The 22,203-nt window shown below is 45.8% G+C and overlaps 1 protein-coding gene across 7 annotated transcripts; it reads left to right on the top strand.

The window, feature by feature from the left end:
* Nucleotides 1–4,763: 4,763 nt before the first annotated feature.
* Nucleotides 4,764–18,013, top strand: PSG1 (pregnancy specific beta-1-glycoprotein 1). 7 transcript variants are annotated; one of them, NM_001184826.2, is made up of 6 exons: nucleotides 4,764–4,959; nucleotides 6,199–6,564; nucleotides 12,432–12,710; nucleotides 15,443–15,721; nucleotides 16,122–16,376; nucleotides 17,413–18,013. In NM_001184826.2, exons 1-6 carry the CDS (start codon nucleotides 4,896–4,898, stop codon nucleotides 17,421–17,423), a joined length of 1,254 nt encoding a protein of 417 aa, NP_001171755.1. In that variant the 5' UTR covers nucleotides 4,764–4,895; the 3' UTR covers nucleotides 17,424–18,013. The 7 variants fall into 7 exon arrangements, with proteins under 7 accessions (NP_001171755.1, NP_001171754.1, NP_001284702.1 ...); NM_001184825.2 differs by having other exon boundaries at nucleotides 17,327–18,013; NM_001297773.2 differs by lacking the exon at nucleotides 17,413–18,013 and adding an exon at nucleotides 16,732–17,273.
* The last annotated feature ends 4,190 nt before the right edge of the window (nucleotides 18,014–22,203 follow it).

Raw genomic sequence — 22,203 nt, 5'->3', positions numbered from 1 at the left:
ATCTCTCTGTCTTGCGTCTTTATTTCTACAATCTCACGTCTCTGCACACGGGGAGAAAAACCCACCGACCCTGCGGGCTGCTCCCTATGCCCACTTTACAGAGACATAAAGAAGTTGAGATGTATACAACTCCCCCAACAACACTGTATCACAAAACAACATCATCTCTGCCCCTCATCGTGGAATTCACTGTCTCTCACCACGTGGGCAAGTGCTTCCAGGGTCCAAAATTCTTCCACAAGAGGCAATGCACACTTTAACATAGCACTTCAGCAAATAAAGTGGTGACAGTTTACCTACTTAGATAAAGTTTCTTAAAAGCTTCTCCCAAATTTCCCCCTGAAGAAGACAGAAACGGCTTTCCCAATTGTGAAACTTTGTCCTCCCCATCTTTCAAAAAAGTACCCCTGAATAGTGAAAACAATCCTGCCAAAAGAAATTGTAAGACTTGAACTTTCTTATTTGCAATCTCACAAAGGAGTACAATTATTAAAACAAGCTGCTGGCAAAAGACTGGACATAATGAAAAATGGGATAGAATTGAGAGTCTAGAAATAAACCCTCACATTTATGGTCAATTACTCTTTGAAGAGGGTGTCAAGAAAATTTAATGGAGGAACAATTCTCCTTTCTAATGATAATGCAGAAACAACTAGATAACCACATGCAAAACAGTGAATTTAGATAACTCTACCTCCCACCATATCAAACAATTCTCTGAAAAATTCATCAGTGAGTTAAATATCAGACCTATAAAACATCTTAAAATAGACATAGAGGTAAATATTGATGAACTCAAATGTGCAATGGATTCTTAGATATGATACAAAAGCATGAGAAACAAGAAAAACAAGATAAATTGGGCTTTATCAAGATGTGAGCCTTTTGTACATCAAAGAAAATTATCAAGACAATAATTAATAGACACAGAATGAGAGAAAATATTTGACAACCACATATAGGCAGTTTTCATGTCCAGATAATATAAAGAACTAGCTACAACTCAGTAACAAAAGGAGAAACCATTAAATTTATAAATGGGCAAAAGACTCAAATATACATTTCTTCAAAGAAGATATACAAATAGTCAAGAAGGACATGAAAAGATACTAAACATCATTAGTCATTAGGAAAATACAAAGTCAAAGCTGCAATGAGACACCACATCAAACCTACAAAACTGGCTACCGTTCTTTTAAAATGTTAAATAACAAGTAGCAGCATTATGTAGAATTTGGAATCCTCATACATGGCTGGTGAGAATATAAAAAAGTACAGCAGCTAGGAGAAAGAGTATTGCTGTTCCTCAAAAAGCTAATTATAGAATTCTCATTTGAAATAACATCCATTCCTAGGTATATACCCAAAGAATTAAATCCACGGACTCAAAAAGGTACTTGCATGGGAATGTTCATTGCAGCATTATTCAGAAAAGATAAAATATGAAAACAATCCAAGTGTTCATCAACACATGAATAAACAAATATGGTGACACATAAAACAGAATGATAATCTGCCATAAAGAGGAAGGAAGCTCTGACACCCGCTGGAACATGCATGGACTTGGAAAACATTATGCTAAGTGAAATGTGTCAGAAACAAAATAACATAATTGTATAATTCCATTTATATGAAACATCAAGAATAGGCAAATTCATAGAGACAGAGTAGAGGTGATCAAGGCCTAGGGTGGAACATACAGGGAGTTATTGTTTAAAAGATACAAAGTTTCAGTTTAAAATGATAACAATTTTCTAGGAAAAATACTGGTGATGGTAATTTAACACGGTGTATGCGGTTAATTTCATTGATTGTGCATTTTAAAGTGGTTAAAATAGCACATTATTCACAGAACTGTGAAAAATAGATTTCTATTATTTAATTCACCCAGGCTAAGGTGTTTGTTATAGGAGCTGAAGCCTATGAATACATCATCTGACCCAGTGTTTTCAATGAAATGCATCAGTTTTTCAATCAAGTTAGCTGGAAGCTCCTGTCCCCAAGAGAACCAGAGGCCCCAAAACAAGAGCTCCAGCAGGGGCTCAGCCAGCACAGGTCCCATAAGGCAGCCTCAATGTCAGGCCCTGGATGGCATGTGAGGCCACAGCAATACAACCACAACGTGAAAGTGTAAGTATTTTTACTACTTACAGACACTGGGAAGCACTTGGCACACCTGGAGACCACAGACACAGAGGTCAGTGAGCCCAGGGAGGGAGGAGAGAAGAGACCGGTAAGCCAATGGCTTTATTAAGTCCAGGGTGTTATCTGACAGGTTTCCAGCAGGGAGCTTTAATGGATGTGTTCAAAGCAAGCAGCAAACACTGGGAACAGGAGCTCACGCTGTGACTGAGAGGTGGTCACTTTTAATGTGAGGGCGAATGTCAGAATTATCAGTTTAAAGAAAGCAGCTGGAGAGACGGGAGCCCAGCACACCAAGCAGGAGAGATGTCTCTAAGATTTGATCTCTGGACACCAACTGGAGCCACTTGAACCAGACACAGTATTGAAAACTGCCATGGTGACCAAGCCCTGCCTCTGATTTGAGGCAAATAAACTTACACCTTAAAAAATGAATGCCAAGGCAACATGACACTATGAGCATCATGACATCCAGGGACACCAGCAGGGTGTGGTACTCTGCCCTGGAGTCAGAATCCTGGGTTCTGGTCCCTGGGAGTGAGAAAATGAAAATGACTTGTCCCTGCCCCCCTGACATTGATCTTCCCACCCTGCTGCTCCCAAGCCCAACTGCAGTGCTCAGCCCCAGACATCACTGCCCCCAGGGTATACACAGTGCCGCCTACTGCACACAAACACAAACTCACAGAAGGTGACAAAAATCTGCATTTGGGACATCTGATTGTGAAAGAGGGAGAACAGTGAACATAGAGCCACAGAGACTGGGACTCACGGGGCTGGAAGGTGATGGGGCTGTAACATAACACAGGTGTGACCTCGTGTGAACTGTGCAGATCCACGTGGAATAAAACATGCATCCTGGCCTGGAATTGCTGCCGTTCACACTTCCCTCCCTGTCCACCAGAGGGGGACAGAGTCCCTCCCAGCCTGGAGTCTTCCCAGGGGATGCCAACCTCACTCAGCGGAACCCACAGCCCAGCAGTGTCCACCCTCTACAGGGTCACTTCTGCCCAAGTCCTCAGCGCCCTCCATGCTCCCCACACGGACACTGTCAGCTCCTCCCTGACCTGGCGGCCGCCAACCTAACACCACTCCCCCTGCAGGTAGCTCCTCCCCACACACCTGCTCCTTCCCTGGGCCCAGCTAAAGGCATCTCCCAGGGCAGCGCTGGTGCACGCGATGCCACACCGGGTGCTTTCCCCTCGTGACCTCCCTCCATCCTCATCAACTCTTTCTGGCACTGCTCCCTAAATGCCCACCCCTGCTCCATCTGTCCTGTTCTCTGGGGCATCCCAGGCCAAGCCTAGCGCTGACACAGAACAGCGGCTGCCTGAGGGCCCACAGCCTCCCCGGGAATCAGCCAGGCACCCTGTGACCTGCCTGCCCGCTGCACCCTGGGGGCTCAGAGCGCGTGTGATGGTCACACACAGGCACCATCCGGGATGTGGCCACCTAACACCAGCTGTCCCTTGGGAAGACAGACCTCTCCTGTGTGCTTGCGGGAAGAAGGGGAATGTTATTGCTCTTTGATCTCAGAACACAACTCACCCCCACCCGCCCTCTCAGGTGAGAGCAATGTCCCTCCAGACAGGCTCTCTGGCCACTGCCTGTTCCTCCTCTACACACAGCAGCTTGGCCAGGTCAAAACCATCAGGACAGACCCCTGGGTATGTCAGCATATGGAGGGCTGAGCCCATCATGGCCACGGAGTAAGTTGGGATGAATCTCTCCAGCTCTGAACCCCTGCTCTGTCCCAGGCTCCCCCTCCCGCATCTCAATGAGCCATGTCCCGCAGGGTTCCTGGGTAACTCCCCACTTCCTCCTGCACCACCACAGGGAAGGTGTGGTGACCACAGGACAGTCAGCTGGGCAGAGAAGAGAGGACATCAAAGATGGTCAGGAAGAACATGAGAAACTATGAGCTCCAGCTCAGCCGCCAGACCCCAGGGAGCCATAGACTGACAGAGAACTGTCCCTTTGACTATGGGACTCACAGCCCCCACTGAGCAACCAGCACAGGCCTCTCCTCCCAAGAGGCATGAGAGATTCACCCTGCACACCGCCAGAAAGGACAGTTTCCTCTGGGACACCCAGGTCCTGAATGTCCATCCTTGGAAGCTGCAGCCAAGCTAGACATGATTAGAGAAAGGAAGGGTCCCTCTCACCAGGCAACACACAGCTCACCCACAGCACAATGGGGCATCATTCTGACAGGGACCTGGTACAGCTCCAGCCTCCTGCACTGAAGGGGAGAGCCTGATGGGGATGAAAGAGGCCAAAGGGCGTTAATTTGCACCCCGACCCAGAGCCATGGGGACACCAGGAGGCTGAGGCCCAGGACTGTTCTTGCCCAACCTGCAGGGTATGTGTCTGACTGTGTGGGTCTGTGTGTATCTCTTCTGTGTGTGTGTGTGTGTGTGTGTGTGTGTGTGTCTGTGTGTCTGCACAAAGTGTGTCTTGAGGTTTGGTGAAAGAATCACTGCTGAAAAAGGCAGAGGCCGCCACAATTCCCAGGGACCTGAAACACAGACAAAAGGAGAAACAGAAGGAGGGACAAGGAGGCAGGACTTAGAGAGGAGGGGACAGAGAGGTGTCCTGGGCCTGACCCTGCCCATGAGCTTGAGAATTGCTCCTGCCCTGGGAAGAGGCTCAGCACAGAAAGAGGAAGGACAGCACAGCTGACAGCCGTGCTCAGAGAGTTTCTGGATCCTAGGCTTATCTCCACAGAGGAGAACACACAAGCAGCAGAGACCATGGGAACCCTCTCAGCCCCTCCCTGCACACAGCGCATCAAATGGAAGGGGCTCCTGCTCACAGGTGAGGAGAGAACTTCCTGGGAGAGGACAGGAGGAGGAAGCAGAGTGACTGGATGGGGTCTCCTGGAGAGGATGGGGTTCTAAAAAATGAAAGAAGCCAGCACTTTGGGAGTCTGAGGTGGGTGGATCATGAGATCAGAAGTTCAAGATCAGTCTGGCCAACACAGTGAAGCCCTGTCTGTACTGAAAATACAAAAATTTAACCAGGTATGGTGGTGTGCTCCTATAATCCTAGCTACTCGGGAGGCTGAGGCAGGAGAATCACGTGAACCCGGGAGGCAGAAGTTGCAGATAGCTGAGATAGCACCACCGCATGCCAGCCTGGGCGACAGTACAAGACTCCATCTCAAAAAAAAAAAAAGAAAAAAGAAAAAAAGGAAAGAAGGCTCTGTTGGAGCCTGGATAGGGGAAAATACACCAGAGAGGGACAGGGGTCAAAACAGGAAAGTCGTATTGGACCGGAATTGGTAAGAGGTAGGAAAATCTTAAGTGTTCTGTTTTCCTGATTAATCATCAGGGGCCACCATATTTTGAAAAATGATAATAATAACTATAGCAGATGACACCTCAAATAAAAATATAAACAGGGCAGGAAACACTGTCCTCAGCAAGAAACCTCAACAATTGGGGGAAAAAAAACACCCAGGGCATGGAGGGCCCTGAGAACTCTCACATCTACAGGAGTCTGCAGCCTGTTCCAGGCACTGGGGTGCAACCAAGATCACAAAAGTCCCTGTCTTCACGGAGCTCACGCTGTCATGGGGGGGAAGACAGACATGCAAAGAGATCTAGAATGTGAGGTCAGGTGTTGACAAGAACCCTGGAGGGAGCAGAGCAGGGAAAGGTCAGAAAGGGAAGACCCAGGGTCTCTGAAGCAGGCATCAGGAAAGAAGTCTAACGATGCCCTGATGTAAGCAGGACCTGAGGGCATTGTGGAGGGGGCCATGCGGACCCCTGGGGAAGAGGATTCCAAACAGAAAAATGCCAACGTCAGAAGTGTTGAAGGAATGGGCGTCATGCTGCTGACCTTGACCTAGTAGGACAGTAGGACACACACACATACACACACACAATCACACATGCCGCTTTTGTGTGTGTGTGTGTGTGTGTGTTTGTATGTGTGTGTGTGTCTGTGTTGTCAAGGCTGAGGACTGAAGAGACCTTCTCAGGACCCAGGGCCCCATGTTTTCACACCAATACATAGGTCTCAATATTGACTGATGTTCTCTCCACCTCCTAGCATCACTTTTAAACTTCTGGAACCTGCCCACCACTGCCCAAGTCACGATTGAAGCCGAGCCAACCAAAGTTTCCGAGGGGAAGGATGTTCTTCTACTTGTCCACAATTTGCCCCAGAATCTTACCGGCTACATCTGGTACAAAGGGCAAATGAGGGACCTCTACCATTACATTACATCATATGTAGTAGACGGTGAAATAATTATATATGGGCCTGCATATAGTGGACGAGAAACAGCATATTCCAATGCATCCCTGCTGATCCAGAATGTCACCCGGGAGGACGCAGGATCCTACACCTTACACATCATAAAGGGAGATGATGGGACTAGAGGAGTAACTGGACGTTTCACCTTCACCTTACACCGTAAGTGATTCCACATGATCCCTGGGTGTTGGGGGACAGGGGTCACTTCTACTTCACACACACAGGATTGTCAGGCCTGGACTCTGCCTGTGTCACTCACTGCGTTATGTCCCATGCTGGGATTTGGGCATTTAGTGCAGGACACACACAGAGGAGACAAATTTCAACAGATCAGAATTCCTTTCCTGCATCCAGACCCTGCAGACACTCGCTGCAGAGGAAGGACAGTCTGATGGGGGGACTCAGCAGGAGGAGATCAGTCTCAGCCAAGCACCTCATGCCCTCTTCATAAATTTGACCCTGAGAAAGACCCTGGATAACTGAGTAGGGCTTGGCCTGAGGGGCCCCCTGAGATACTCTCAGAGAAGCTCAGCCCTAGAAGCCTCAACCCCAGACCCTTGTCCCTAAATCCTTGTTCCAGATAAAGCTGAGGAGCCTGTGCTGGGACTGGGTTGTGGCTTCTTGGGCAGGGCTTACTGGGACCAAGGATTTACCAGCTGTCAGAGGACTGTGTCTCCTGGAGCTGTTCACCAGCCAGGGCTCAGCCCTCAGAGCCTCATCTGGGCCAGGACAGAGCTTTCTTCACCTGATACTCAGAGTGGAGAGGACAGAAAGACAAGCTTTGTAGGCCATCACCCAACTGCCTTAGGAGGCTTAGGATAGTCCATAGAAAGACTAATGTCCCCAGAAGCAGAAACAGAAGAGAGAAGATGTACCAGGTAGCAGCTTGTCCACAGGGATCTGACGTAAAGGTGCTTTCTCATGGAAGCAAATTAATAATAAATGCTGTTTGTGTGAAACCTCCACTGTGCCAAGCATTAGGTCAGGTGACTGTGAATAATTTAACATTTATTCACAGATAGCATGAAAAGCCACAGTCCATTTGCCATTTAGCTTATTTGATTGAGAGAAAACTGAGGCACAGGAAGGCACAGTGACTGAGCAAGAGTCACACAAACACAAAGGGGAGATCAGGGTCACATGAGGTCTGTCTGTAGCCACAGGCCCATCCTCTACTCCACCAGAAGTGAGGGCTTACTGGGTTCCAAGCACCCCATAGTCATTTGTTGGCTCAAATCCTCTCTTCTTAGGCATCCAAACCTCAGAGGAGTGAGAGCAAATGGTCAGCTGATTAGTCTGCACTCCAGAACTAAATCACCTGCTTCAACCATCAGAGTCAGTGCAAAAAAATGTCCAGGCCTCCTCCTCAGATCTTAACCACCATCACTGAACCTGAAATCCTGTGTTTCCCAAAGTGTCCTTGTCACTGTCATGAGAGGATCAAGGAGAGGACCTTGTTTTCTTTCCCCACTCACACTCTACACCACCACAGGCCCAGCGAGAGAGACACACACTCAGGAGCTCTCACATGACAAATGAAGGAATGGAATGAAGAAATGAATGATCCAAAACCTCTTTAGAGATTGGATCTTGGATGCAGAATCCTAGGAGGTTCTAGCCACACCTGTCCCTTGTCCTTCAGAGGCTGACATCCATGTTTCATCCCCCCACTACCTCTTGCCCCTAAAGCCACCCCACCTCATGTAATTCTGAAGCTCTTAAGCCACCGGAGGGTTCTCGAGGGCTCCTTGGTCCTGGACTATGGAACTGGGGGCACCTGGTCCCTGGAGTTTCTGAAGACAGTGTCTCCCTCACTGCTCACTGCCATGGTGTATCTGCCTCTCTCTGCTTCTCTGTGTCCCTCATCTTCCTCCCACTTCATTCTGACTGGCAAGCCCTGTCCTGCACAGCTTCTTCCTCCACCTCTAGGCCTTCCCTAGACACTCCCTCTAACCACTCTGGCTGTTCAGTTCCCTTCCCACTAACACTGTGGCCTGGCCCACCTCCCAGGAAAGAGGAAAGGCACAGAAATCATCTGGAGTTGCCACTCCTGCCAGGCTTCCTCTCGAGCCAATGTCCCCAGGTCACTAAGAGAATGACCTTCCACTGTATTCCCATCCAGGGCTCTTTCCCTTTGTGAGGCTGACCTGTGGACAAGACCATGGGACAGGGATAGGCAGTTCCTCCATCCACTCTCATAATTGCCAGACAAGTTCCTCTGGCCTCCTGCACAAAAAAAAAAAAAAACAAATAAATAAATAAAATAAAATAATTGAAATGGCGGTTTGCAGTAAAGAAAGATTTTAATGACTCCAAGTCTGCCAAACAGGAGGACAGAGGTTTATTATTACTCAAATCAGCCTCCCCAGTGGATCAGGGCTTAGAGATTTTCAAGGATAGTTTCAGGGCCACAGGACTAAAAAATTAGTACTGCTGATTGTTTGGTGATGGAATCATGGGGGCAGGGGGACATGATCTGTTTGTGCTTGAATCTGCCTCTAGGTAGGGACCACATGACTGGCTGAGCCATTAGTCATAGGTATGGATGAGGTCAGCCGGTTGCCAGAATGCAAAAGAATGAGAAACATCTCAAAAGACCAATCTCACGTTCTACAATAGTGATGTTATCTATAGGAGCAATTAGTTACAAATTTTGTAAACCCTGTCCCAATGACACTGGAGCAGTCAGGGATTATAGAAACTGTGCCTACATTTTAGCAAAATTCAGTTCCCTCCTATAATCTTAATCTCATGGTCTTTCACTAGTTTTACAAAGGCAGTCCCTGGACAAAGTAAGGGTGTTAGTTTTATGGAGGAACTATTATCATTCTTGCTTCAAGTTTAAACCATAAACTAAATTCCTCCCAAGGTTAACCTGGCCTATGCCCAGGAATGAGTGAGGACAGCCAGCCTGAGACTAGATGCCAGATGGAGTCAGCCATGCTAGTTTGCTGTCACTGTTGTAATCTCTGCACTGACTCACCAGGGTGTCAGAGGCTGGACAGGCCTGCTGTCCCCAAACCCCATGGGCTCATTTCACCTGTGACTCCAGCCTCAACCTGCTAAGGAGCTCACATTCTCCAGTCACTTCCTATAGACTTCTGGCTTCCTGTCAGGCATATAACAAGCTTGAAATTTGTCACTGGTTTCTAACGCTAAGTAAAAAGCTGAACAAACTCAAAAGTCAACAACTTGTTAAAATCCCTCAGAGATGGCTGGGCACTCCATCTCTGAGTGGACTCTTGACCCCATCCTCACTCATGACGCCATCCTCAACCTGCTATGGAGCTCACATTCTCCGGTCACTTTCTAGAGAGTTCTAGCTTCCTGACAGGCGTATAACAAGCTTGAAATTTGTCACTCGGTTCTAACACTAAGTAAAAAGCTGAACAAACTCAAAAGGCAACAACTCATTAAACTCCCTCAGAGACGGCTGCGCACAGTGGCTCACGCCTATAATCCCAGCACTTTGGGAGGCCGAGGCGGGCACAAGGTCAAGAGATAGAGACCATCCTGGCTAACATGGTGAAACCCCGTCTCTACTAAAAATGCAAAAAATTAGCCAGGCATGGTGGCGGGCCCCTGTAGTCCCAGCTACTTGGGAGGCCAAGGCAGGAGAATGGTGTGAACCCAGGAGGCAGAGCTTGCAGTGAGCTGAGATCATGCCACTGCACTGCAGCCGGGGTGACAGAGCGAGACTCTGTCTCAGAAAAAAAAAACCCTGTTAGAGAAATGAAGAATGCTTTTGATGCTTACTGGTAGACTGCACACAGCTGTGGAAAGAATACCTAGCTTGAGGATGTGTCAACAGAAACTTCCAAAACTGAAACAGGAAAGTTCAAAAAGAGTGGGGAAAAAAAGTGGAACAACATATTCAACTTCATATTTAATATTTTGTTTTGACAATAGCAATTTTTAAATTTTGTAGCTGTGGGACAACTACAAAGACTGTAATGTACACGTAATGGGAATACCGGTGGTTTTGGGGACTAGTTGGAGTTGACCAGGTGGGTGTTATCTGATGGTTTTACTGCCTGTGCCACCTATAACTGTTTCCTCATGATGATGTCATTTTCATAAGTTGGAGATCTTCGTGTGGGGAGACACAAGAGCCATTGCCATCTCACTTAGACTCTTCCTAATTCACACAAACTTAAACTCTAGTGGTGTTTCCTGAGCTTAAGAGAAAATGAAGAAAGCATTTCACATACCTGTTTTGAGGTCCTCCCCATTTTTCCTAACTCTGCACAGAATTTAGAAGCAGGGAGTTCTTTCTATATTTACTAACATAACACACATCACTTCTTTTAATTTGACATCCTTTCTCCCTTTATGTAATTGATGCACTGACCAGTTCGGTCCTTTCAATGGGACTCTCTCTACTTAAGGAGCTGCTAATTTCAAATCACCTTTGGCATCTTTCTTTGAGCATAACGTGATCCTGCTGGAATTCACGGCACACCTAAACCTTATTTTGGTCTCAAGAGAAATACTACTACCAGCAATTGATCTTAGATGTTTGGACCATCAGTAAAAATTTCCACTTATGAAAACATTTTAATGTTTCCTCCAAATTTTTTTTGTTACTAGAGTCAGAATATAACATGAGGTCTAAACTCCTGACAAATTTTTACGGAAAAATTACACTGTTACAAATTGAGCATCGGAAATCCAGAAATCCACAATCTGAAATGCTCAAAACTCAACACTTCTGACCACTGATGTGATGCTAAAAAGAAGTGCTCACTGGCGCATTGTGGATTTTAAATTTTTCAGATTTGGGATGCTAAACCAGTACATGTACTGCAAATATTCCAAAATAAAAAAATAATTAGACATCCAAAACACTTAGTTTCAAGCTTTCTGCATAAGGAGCACTTTATCTGTATGAAGTATAGGCATGAGGCTGTACAGGAGATCTCTAGAACCTCCTCTTCCTGCATAACTGAAACTGCACACCCACGGAACAACACCCTATTCCCCTGATCCCAGCTCCTGCAAACTACTATTCTACTCTCTGATTCACTCTGGAATCCACTGATATCAGGTACATAGAGTAGTCAAACTCAGAATCAGAGAGTAGAATGTCTAATGAGAGAAAGTATCTGCAAGACTTCTTCCCAAATATTGGTCTAATATTCACCAAACACATATGGTCCATGAGGGCCAGACTTCCGTCATCAGTTCATGATCGCCCTTTCCACCAGTCAGTTCTGCATTTGCAAAGATCCACATGTATTTCTAGAAAGATCCACATGGTCCTCAACTGCCCTCTACAGGGGGAAGGGAGCATCATGGACCCAGAAGAGAGAACATGGTCTTGGTCCAAAGCTATCAGCTCTTGCCTATCCCCTTCACTCTTTGTAGGTCATTCCTTGGACTCTGCTCTATCTTTAGAGTCACTAGCTCAACTCAGTCACTATGAGACACCTGGGAAAACTGCCCCACCTCGTGGCTCCACTGCCTGATGACTGAACTGACCTCCAGGCTTGACTCTGGTCTCCCCTGTTTTATGCTAGAATACCCAGTCCCAGGCCAGGCTTTCCAGTACCCAAAGGTTTTAAGGACAATGGGAAGTTCCATCATCCATCTCTAGGATGTCCTTGGCAAGGGAAGCTGCAGAGAAAACATACCTCAGTGGGCAAAGTGAGACTGAAACTAACAAGATTCCAGCACTGCATGCTCCAAGTGAGGACCACAAGGTGGGCCAGGCAGGCAGTTGGAGACGGAGGGACACACAGAGGCACCAGGGGCTGTGACTGCTGGTCCTGTGTCTTTCCATGACCCAATGCTGCTGCTCAATTCACACTTGAGAAAGTCTGTGCTTCTCCCACATGAAGCAGGCAGCCTCACAATCTCTGAGCCCTCAGATTGCCATGCATCTGTCTTGTATCACACACACCTGCCATGGGCTTTTAAGGACTTGGGTGGGCTGAGAGGTGGGAAATGCCAATTCTGATTGAAAAATGCCTTTGGAGGAATCAAAGGCGCCACACACGGCAATCTTCACCCTGTTTTCTGCACAGTGGAGACTCCTAAGCCCTCCATCTCCAGCAGCAACTTAAATCCCAGGGAGACCATGGAGGCTGTGAGCTTAACCTGTGACCCTGAGACTCCAGACGCAAGCTACCTGTGGTGGATGAATGGTCAGAGCCTCCCTATGACTCACAGCTTGAAGCTGTCCGAAACCAACAGGACCCTCTTTCTATTGGGTGTCACAAAGTATACTGCAGGACCCTATGAATGTGAAATACGGAACCCAGTGAGTGCCAGCCGCAGTGACCCAGTCACCCTGAATCTCCTCCGTGAGTATCTTCTGTTCCTCTGTGAGCCAGGCTGCCATCCCAAATACACGTGGCCAGAGGCCAGGCCTCTCTGTCCCTCTCAGGTCCAATACAGAGACCTTTACCCCTGGACATCAAACCTGGCCATGACTTTGTGCCCCAGGCAAACCAGAGTAGACCTAGGCTTCATCAACAATAGGAGAAAAGAGGCTGCTCCTGTCATGGGAGACTCAGGGTCCACAGCTTGTGATGGGAGAAACAGGTGAAGGTCTCAGGCTCCAGATCTGTGAACACAGTGGGGATTTGGCTGGGACTTCAATGTTGTGACTTGGCTCACAGGGTCACTGTGATTGTGGCCCTTCCACAGACCAGGATTTTCCCTTCCCTCTGACAATAGTGCCTGTGACATTATTCTCTTTACTCCACATGGCCTGGATGCCCCCACCATTTCTTCCTCATACACCTATTACCATACAGGGGAAGTCCCCAAGCTCTCCTGCCTCACAGACTCCATCCACTGGCAGAGCATTCTTGGCTGATTGCTGGGAAGTTCCAGCAATCAACACAAGTGTTCTTTATACCCCAAATCACTAAAACATATACAGGGATCTAGGTCTGTTTCATCCATAACTCAGCCACTGGTGGAACAAATCTCATAATCAAGAGGATCATAGTCCCTGGTAAGTGGATCCCTGGAGCATTGGCAATATGTTTTCCAGTGAAGTCTATCTAGCTATCAGGGAAGAGCCACCTGCCCTCTGCAAAGGGAGAGGGAAAATCAAAAACCCAGGACAGGGAATATGTTTCTACTCCAAAACCACCAGCTTTTGCCTGTCCCCTTCACTCTTTCTAGATCATTCTTTAGACTATACACTAACAATGAACAATCTGAAAGGAAATTAAGGAAATAATTTCAATTCACATTAACATCAAAAGGAATAAAATATTTTGGAGTAAGTTTAACCAAAAAAGTCAAATGATTATACCCTGAAAACTACAAACCATTGCTGAAAGAAATTAAAGACGATATCAATATATGGAAAGACATTTCATTTTCATGGATTGGAAGAATCAATATTGTTAGAAAGACAACATTACCCAAAATGAGTTGCAGATTCAATGCATCCCCTACCAGAATCACAGTAACATTTTTTGCAGAATTAGAAAACACTGTCCTAAATCTCACATGACAGGCTCTTATTAATGACTGACACAACACAAACACTGAGAAAAAGAGGTAACCATGAAAAGGTGGAAAGTTCTGATGACATAGAAAATAGCAATCAGCCTTTCTCACATCCCAAGGCCTTCAAAAATATACGAGTGCAGCATGGCCACTGTGGAATTCACCGAAAACTGATCACCAAGCTAGAAACGTGGTGAGAGAAAAAAAAGGGCAAGAATATCTTTGGCTTATCACCTCCCACTTTTGCCTACTAATCTGATGCTGAAAAGAAATGCTCACTGGAGCATTTTAGATTTTGAATCTTTCAGATTTGGGATGCTAAACCAGTAAGTATATGACAAATATTTCAGAATCAAAAAATGTCAGAAATCCAAAACACTTTTTGTCCTAAGTCTTATGCATAAGAAATACTCAATCTGTGTGAACTATAGGCATCAAGCTCTACAGCAGTTCTCTAGAACCTCCCCACCTTGCATAACTGAAACTGCACACCCATGAACAACTTCTGATTCTACCCACTCCCAGCTCCTGACAACCAGCAGTCTCTTCTCATATTCACTCTGGAATCCACTTACATGAGGTCCCTAGAGTAGTTGAACCCATGGAATCAGAGAGTAGAATGTCCAATGAAATAAAATATTTGCAAAACCTCTCTCCAAATTTGTCTCATATCCATCAAACACACATGGTTCATGAGGACCAGATTTCCAGCAGTTCATTCCCACCCTTTCTACCAGTCAGTTCTGAATTTGCAAATGTCCACATGTATTTCTGGAAAGATCCACATGGTCCTCACCTGCCCTCTGCAGAAGGAGAGGAAACTTAAAGAACCCAAGACAGGGAACATGCTTCTGCTCCAAAGCCACCAGCTCTTGCCTGTCCCCTTCACTCTTTCTAGATCATTCCTTGCACTCTGCTCTATCTTTAGAGGTCACTGGTTCAAGTAAGTCATCATGAAACACCTGCAAAAAACTGCCCCACCTTGAGCCTCCACTGCCTGATGACTGAACTGACCTCCAGCCTTGATTCTGGTCTCCCCTGTGTTATTTCTGCTGAAACATCCAGTCCCAGGCCAGGCTGCTCAGTATCTTCAGGGTTGCAGGACAAAGGGAAGTCCCATTATTACTCATCTCTAGAATGTCCTTTGAAATGGAAGCTGCAGAGAAATCACATCTAGGGGGACAAAGTAGGATGGAATTTGGAAGGGGCCCAGCAGTTGCATATTCCAGGTAAGGAACCCAAGGTGAGCCAGCCAGTCAACTGATTAGGGAGGGCCTGGGAAGGGTACCAGGGGCTGTGACTCCCACTGACGTGTCTGTCCATGACCCAACACTGCTGCTCAATTGACACTTCAGAAAGTCTGTGCTTCCCTAAGACAGAGAAGGCGGCCTCACAGTCTTTGAGCCCTTAGATCATCATGCATCTATCTTGTGACAAAAGCACCAGCTATTGGCTTTCAAGGACTCGGGTGGAATGAGAGGTGGGAGATGCCAACTCTGATTGAAGGATACCTGTGGAGGAATCAAAGGTGCCACACAGGACAATCTTCTCTCTGTTATCCACACAGCGAAGCTGCCCAAGCCCTACATCACCATCAACAACTTAAACCCCAGGGAGAATAAGGATGTCTTAAACTTCACCTGTGAACCTAAGAGTGAGAACTACACCTACATTTGGTGGCTAAATGGTCAGAGCCTCCCGGTCAGTCCCAGGGTAAAGCGACCCATTGAAAACAGGATCCTCATTCTACCCAGTGTCACGAGAAATGAAACAGGACCCTATCAATGTGAAATACGGGACCGATATGGTGGCATCCGCAGTGACCCAGTCACCCTGAATGTCCTCTGTGAGTATCTTTTGTTCCTCTGTGGGCCAGGACACCAGCTTAAATCCAAACCACCAGATGCCAGGCCTCTCAGTCTCTCTCCGGTCCAAGTATAGACACCTTTACTTCTGGACATCGGAGCTGGCCATGACTCCCTGCCCTGGGAAATCCTGGGTAGGCACAGCCTTAACCAAGAATATAAGGGGAGGGGATGCTCTTATCATGGGAGACTTGGGGCCCACAGCTTGTGATGGGAGAAACAGGGGAATACCTCAGGATTCGGCTCAGTGAACATAGAGGGGGTTGGGCTGGGACTTGAGGGTGTGTCTTGGCTCAGAGGGTCACTGTGTCCCTTTAAGAGACCAGGAACATCCCCTTCCCTCAGATGACATCACCTGTGGCTTTATTCTCTTTGCTCCAGATGGTCCAGACCTCCCCAGAATTTACCCTTCATTCACCTATTACCGTTCAGGAGAAGTCCTCTACTTGTCCTGTTCTGCGGACTCTAACCCACCGGCACAGTATTCTTGGACAATTAATGAAAAGTTTCAGCTACCAGGACAAAAGCTCTTTATCCGCCATATTACTACAAAGCATAGCGGGCTCTATGTTTGCTCTGTTCGTAACTCAGCCACTGGCAAGGAAAGCTCCAAATCCATGACAGTCGAAGTCTCTGGTAAGTGGATCCCAGCATCGTTGGCAATAGGGTTTTAGGTGGAGTCTATCTGGCATTCAGAGAAGAGTCAGGAAAACAATTGTATTCCCAGCCTGTGTCCCATGGGCACAAGCAAATCCCAAATTCTCCTCCTGAACCCTCCAAATTTGTCTAAGAACTTCGAAAACTTTAACAAACAGGCTGATATCTTCATAATATTCCCAGCCTAGACCAAGCAGGAAGAACATTGATTTCATTGAAATAATTGATAATAATGAAGATAATGTTTTTATGATTTTTATTTGAAAATTTGCTGATTCTTTAAATGGTTTGTTTTCTACATTGATGGAATTTTTCTCTTTTAATCTATCTACAGCTTATAGCAGTTCAATAAACTATACTTCTGGGAACCGTAATTGAAACATTTACTTTTGCTTTCTACCTGACTGCCCCAGAATTGGGCAACTATTCATGAGAATTGATATGTTTATGGTAATACACATATTTGCACAAGTACAGTAACAATCTGCTTTCTTTGTAACATGACACATTTGAAATCATTGGTTATATTACCAATGCTTTGATTCGGATGTTATATTAAAAACATAGATAGAATGAACCAATATGAACTGCAGGCAAAGTCTGAAGTCAGCCTTGGTTTGGCTTCCTATTCTCAAGAGGTTTGTGAAGATTTAATCTCAGATTCCTTATAAAAACTTAGAGAAAAGAAAATTTTAGAAGACAGCCTACATGGTCCATTGCTACTCTTGCTGCACTTATGTAAACAATCAGACCACATTTGAAGAAACTCCACCTATTTTGCAAACAAACTTATTCTACTGAAATTATCATTGGTAAAAGTAGAGATGCCCATAGAGGGAAAAATTATGTGGAAAATAAAAACTGTAGTATACCTGTTATGAGACTGCAGCTCTGTTCATTGTTTCTGTGTTTTTATTATCCACCTGTAGACTGGACAGTTCCCTGAATTCTACTAGTACCTCCAATTCCATTTTCTCCCATGGAATCACTAAGAGCAAGACCCACTCTGTTCCAGAAGCCCTATAAGCTGGAGGTGGACAACTCAATGTAAATTTCATGGGAAAACCCTTGTACGTGAAGCATGAGCCACTCAGAACTCACCAAAATATTCGACACCATAACAACAGATGCTCAAACTGTAAACCAGGACAACAAGTGGATGACTTCACACTGTGGACAGTTTTTCCCAAGATGTCAGAACAAGACTCCCCATCATGATGAGGCTCTCCCCCCTCTTAACTGTCCTTGCTCATGCCTGCCTCTTTCACTTGGCAGGATAATGCAGTCATTAGAATTTCACATGTAGTAGCTTCTGAGAGTAACAACAGAGTGTCAGATATGTCATCTCAACCTCAAACTTTTACATAACATCTCAGGGGGAAATGTGGCTCTCTCCACCTTGCATACAGGGCTCCCAATAGAAATGAACACAGAGATATTGCCTGTGTGTTTGCAGAGAAGATGGTTTGTATGAAGACGTAGGAAAGCTGAAATTATAATAGAGTCCCCTTTAAATCCACATTGTGTGGATGGCTCTTGCCGTTTCCTAAGAGATACATTGTAAAACGTGACAGTAAGACATTCTAGCAGAATAAAACATGTACCACCTTTGCTAATACTGTTCTCTTAAAATAATTTTAAAAGAATGGGGTGGGCCCTCCCATGTGTCCAGGCCAGTCTCTGAACAGAATCCTCCATCTGTGGTAACAATGCCTAAGAAGATGACATGGACTTGGTCCTGATATGCAGCCATTCCTCTATACCCTTCCCCTGCTGCAGGGCCGTACAAGCCCATGGCCCAAATCTTCAGCTGCAGAGCTGAGACAGAACATGGGATACCTGGCATCCCTTACCTTCTTCCAGTCCACTGCAATGTCTACTGGCATGGCCCATTTACCCCTGAGGACACCCATCTGCTGACCCATAGTTTCTAAGAGTCAGACTTTCCTGGTTTCTCTGAGCCCCAGCTACTTTCACTCTGCTGAACCCTTCTTCTCACCACAGGTGGCAATGCCTTAGCAGACACCTCTTTCAGCTGCAGCTAACAGGTAAGCCAAGACCCAGACCCCAGAGGATAAACAAGGATTTCAAAACCTACTGTGTCCAACGGAGATGCCCACTTGTGGGTGGCAAGCCACCCAGGTGCCAAGGCAAGAGACCGAGGGCACAAGCTCTTCCGGTATAATAAAATATAAAAGAAGAATAGTTATACCAGATATAGATCTTAGATATGATTATATATGAATATCATTAATCATTACTTGGTAGCAATTACTCTTTATTCCAATATTATAATAATCCTCATTTCTATAATCATAACCTAGGAAAAGCCAGGCCATACAGAGACATGAGCTCAGGAGACATAGTGAGAAGTGACCAGAAGACAAGAGTGTGAGCCTTCTGTTATGCCCAGACAGGGCAACTAGAGGGCTCCTTGGTCTAGCGGTAATGACAGCGTCTGGGAAGATGCCCATTGCCAAGCGGACCCTGGTCTAGCAGTAGCCTCAGTGTCAAGGAAAAACACCTGCTACTTAGCAGACCAGGAAAGCTACTTAGAGTCTCCCTTTCCCTGGGGAAATTTAGAGAAGACTCTACTCCTCCACCTCTTGTAGAGGGCCTGACATTAGTCAGGTCCACCTGCAGTTATTTGGAGGCCTGACTGTCTCCCTATGATGCTGTGCTTCAGTGGTCACAATCCTAGTCCACCTTCATGTTCCAACCTGTTCACCTGGCTCTGCCATTTAGTTAGCAGAAGCAAATTAGTGAAAGTACTAAAAGTCTCTAATAAGCAGAAATAATGCTGTAAGCTCTCTCTCTCTTTCTCTTCTCTCACTCTGCCTTGGTTGCCAGGCAGGGAAGGGCCCCCTGTCCAGTGGACATGTGACCCCTGTGGCCTTACCTATCATTGGAGATGGCTCACACTCCTTATCCTGCCCCTTTGTCTTGTATCCAATAAATGTCAGTGCAGCCTGGCATTCGGTGCCACTACCGGTCTCTGTGTCTTGGTGGTAGTGGTCCCACAGGCCCAGCTGTCTTTTCTTTTATCTCTGTCTTCTGTCTTTATTTCTACAATCTCTCATCTCCACACACAGGGAGAAAAACCCACTGACCTTGTGTGGCTGGTCCCTACACCAACTATACAGAGACATAAAGAAGTAGAGATGTATACCACTCCCCCAACAACATTGTATCCCAAAACAACATCCTCTCTGCCCCTCATTGTGGAATTCACTGTCTCTTACCATGTGGGCTAGTGCTTCCAGGGTCTCATAATTCTTCCACAAGAGGCAATGCACACTTTAACGTAGCACTTCAGCAAATAAAGTGGTAACAGTTTACCTACTTAGATAAAGTTTCTTAAAATGTTCTCCCAAATTTCCCCCTGAAGAAGACAGAAACGGCTTTCCCAGTTGTGAAATATTGGCCTCCCCACCTTTCAAAAAAGGACCCCTGAATAGCCAAAACAATCTTGCCAAAATAAATTGTAGGACTTGAACTTTCTTATTTGAAATCTCACAAAGGAGTACAATTATTAAAACAGAAGCTACTGGCAAAGAATAGACATAAGCTGCTGGCAAAAGAATGGACATAAAGACAAATGGGATAGAACTGAGAGCCTAGAAATAAACCCTCACACTTATGGTCAATTACTCTTTGAAGAGTGTGTCAAGACAATTTAATGGAGGAACAATTCTCCTTTCTAATGATAATGCAGAAACAACTAGATAACCACATGCAAAACAGTGAATTTAGATAACTCTACCTCCCACCATATCAAACAATTCTCTAAAAAATTGATCAGTGAGTTAAATATAAGACCTATAACCATAAAAACATCTTAAAATAGACATAGAGGTAAATATTGATGACCTCAAATGTGCAATGGATTCTTAGCTATGATACAAAAGCATGAGAAAAAAAAGATAAATTGGGCTTTATCAAGATGTGAGCCTTTTGTGCATCAAAGGAAATCATCAAGAAAATAATTAATAGACACAGAATGAGAGAAAATATTTGCAAACCACATATAGGCAGTTTTCATGTCCAGATAATATCAAGAACTAGCTACAACTCAATAACAAAGGGAGAAACCATCCAATTTATAAATGGACAAAAGACTCAAATAGATGTTTCTTCAAAGAAGATATACAAATAGTCAAGAAGGACATGAAAAGATACTCAACATCATTAGTCATTAGGAAAATACAAAGTCAAAGCTGCAATGAGATACCACACCACACCTACAAAACTGGCTACAATTCTTTTAAAATGTTAAATAACAAGTGGCAGCATTATGTAGAATTTGGAATCCTCATACATTGCTGGTGAGAATATAAAAAAGTACAGCCACTAGGAGAAACAGTTTTGCTCTTCCTCAAAAAGCTAATCATAGGGTCCTGGAGCCAAGATGGCCGAATAGGAACAGCTCTGGTCTACAGCTCCCAGCGTGAGCGATGCAGAAGACGGGTGATTTCTGCATTTCCATCTGAGGTACCAGGTTCATCTCACTAGCGACTGCTGGACAGTGGGCACAGGACAGTGGGTGCAGTGCACTGTGCATGAGCCAAAGCAGGGCAAGGCATTGCCTCACTCGGGAAGCACAAGAGGTCAGGGAGTTCCCTTTTCTAGTCAAAGAAAGGGGTGACAGATGGCACCTGGAAAATCGGGTCACTCCCATCCTAATACTGTGCTTTTGAAATAGGCATAAAAAAAGGCGCACCAGGAGATTATATCCCGAACATGGCTCAGAGGGTCCTATGCCCACAGAGTCTCGCTGATTCCTAGCACAGCAGTCTGAGATCAAACTGCAAGGTGGCAGTGAGGCTCGGGGAGGGGCTCCCGCCATTGCCAACGCTTGCTTAGGTAAACAAAGCAGCCAGGAAGCTCAAACTGGGTGGAGCCCACCACAGCTCAAAGAGGCCTGCCTGCCTCTGTAGGCTCCACCTCTGTGGGCCAGGCACAGACAAACAAAAAGACAGCAGTAACCTCTGCAGACTTAAATGTCCCTGTCTGACAGCTTTGAACAGAGCAGTGGTTCTCCCAGCATGCAGCTGGAGATCTGAAAATGGGCAGACTGCCTCCTCAAGTGGGTTCATGATGCCTGACCCCCGAGCAGCCTAACTGGGAGGCACCCCCCACTAGGGGAAGACTGACACCTCACATGGCCGGGTACTCCTCTGAGACAAAACTTCCAGAGGAACGATCAGACAGCAGCATTCGCAGTTCACAAAAATCCGCTGTTCTGCAGCCACCGCTGCTGGTACCCACACAAACAGGGTCTGGAGTGGACCTCTAGTAAACTCCAACAGACCTTCAGCTGAAGGTCCTGTCTCTTAGAAGGAAAACTAACAAACAGAGAGGACATCCACACCAAAAACCCATCTGTACATCACCATCATCAAAGACGAAAAGTAGATAAAACCACAAAGATGGGGAAAAAACAGAGCAGTAAAACGAAACTATAAAAAGCAGAGCGCCTCTCCTCCTCAAAAGGAACGCAGTTCCTCACCAGCAATGGAACAAAGCTGGATGGAGAATGACTTTCATAAGTTGAGAGAAGAAGGCTTCAGATGTTCAAACTACTCTGAGCTCCAGGAGGAAATTCAAACCAAAGGCAAAGAAGTTAAAAACTTTGAAAAAAATTTAGATGAAGGTATAACTAGAATAACCAATACAGAGAAGTGCTTGAAGGAGCTGATGGAGCTGAAAGCCAAGACTCGAGAACTACGTGAAGAATGCAGAAGCCTCAGGAGCCGATGCGATCAACTGGAAGAAGGGTATCAGTGATGGAAGATGAAATGAATGA

Source organism: Homo sapiens, chromosome 19 (genome assembly GCF_000001405.40).
Source record: "Homo sapiens chromosome 19, GRCh38.p14 Primary Assembly".
In the NCBI taxonomy this organism is placed as follows: Eukaryota; Metazoa; Chordata; class Mammalia; order Primates; family Hominidae; genus Homo; species Homo sapiens.
The sequence above is the reverse complement of the archived record's forward strand: the minus strand, read 5'-3'. Positions and strand labels throughout refer to the sequence as shown.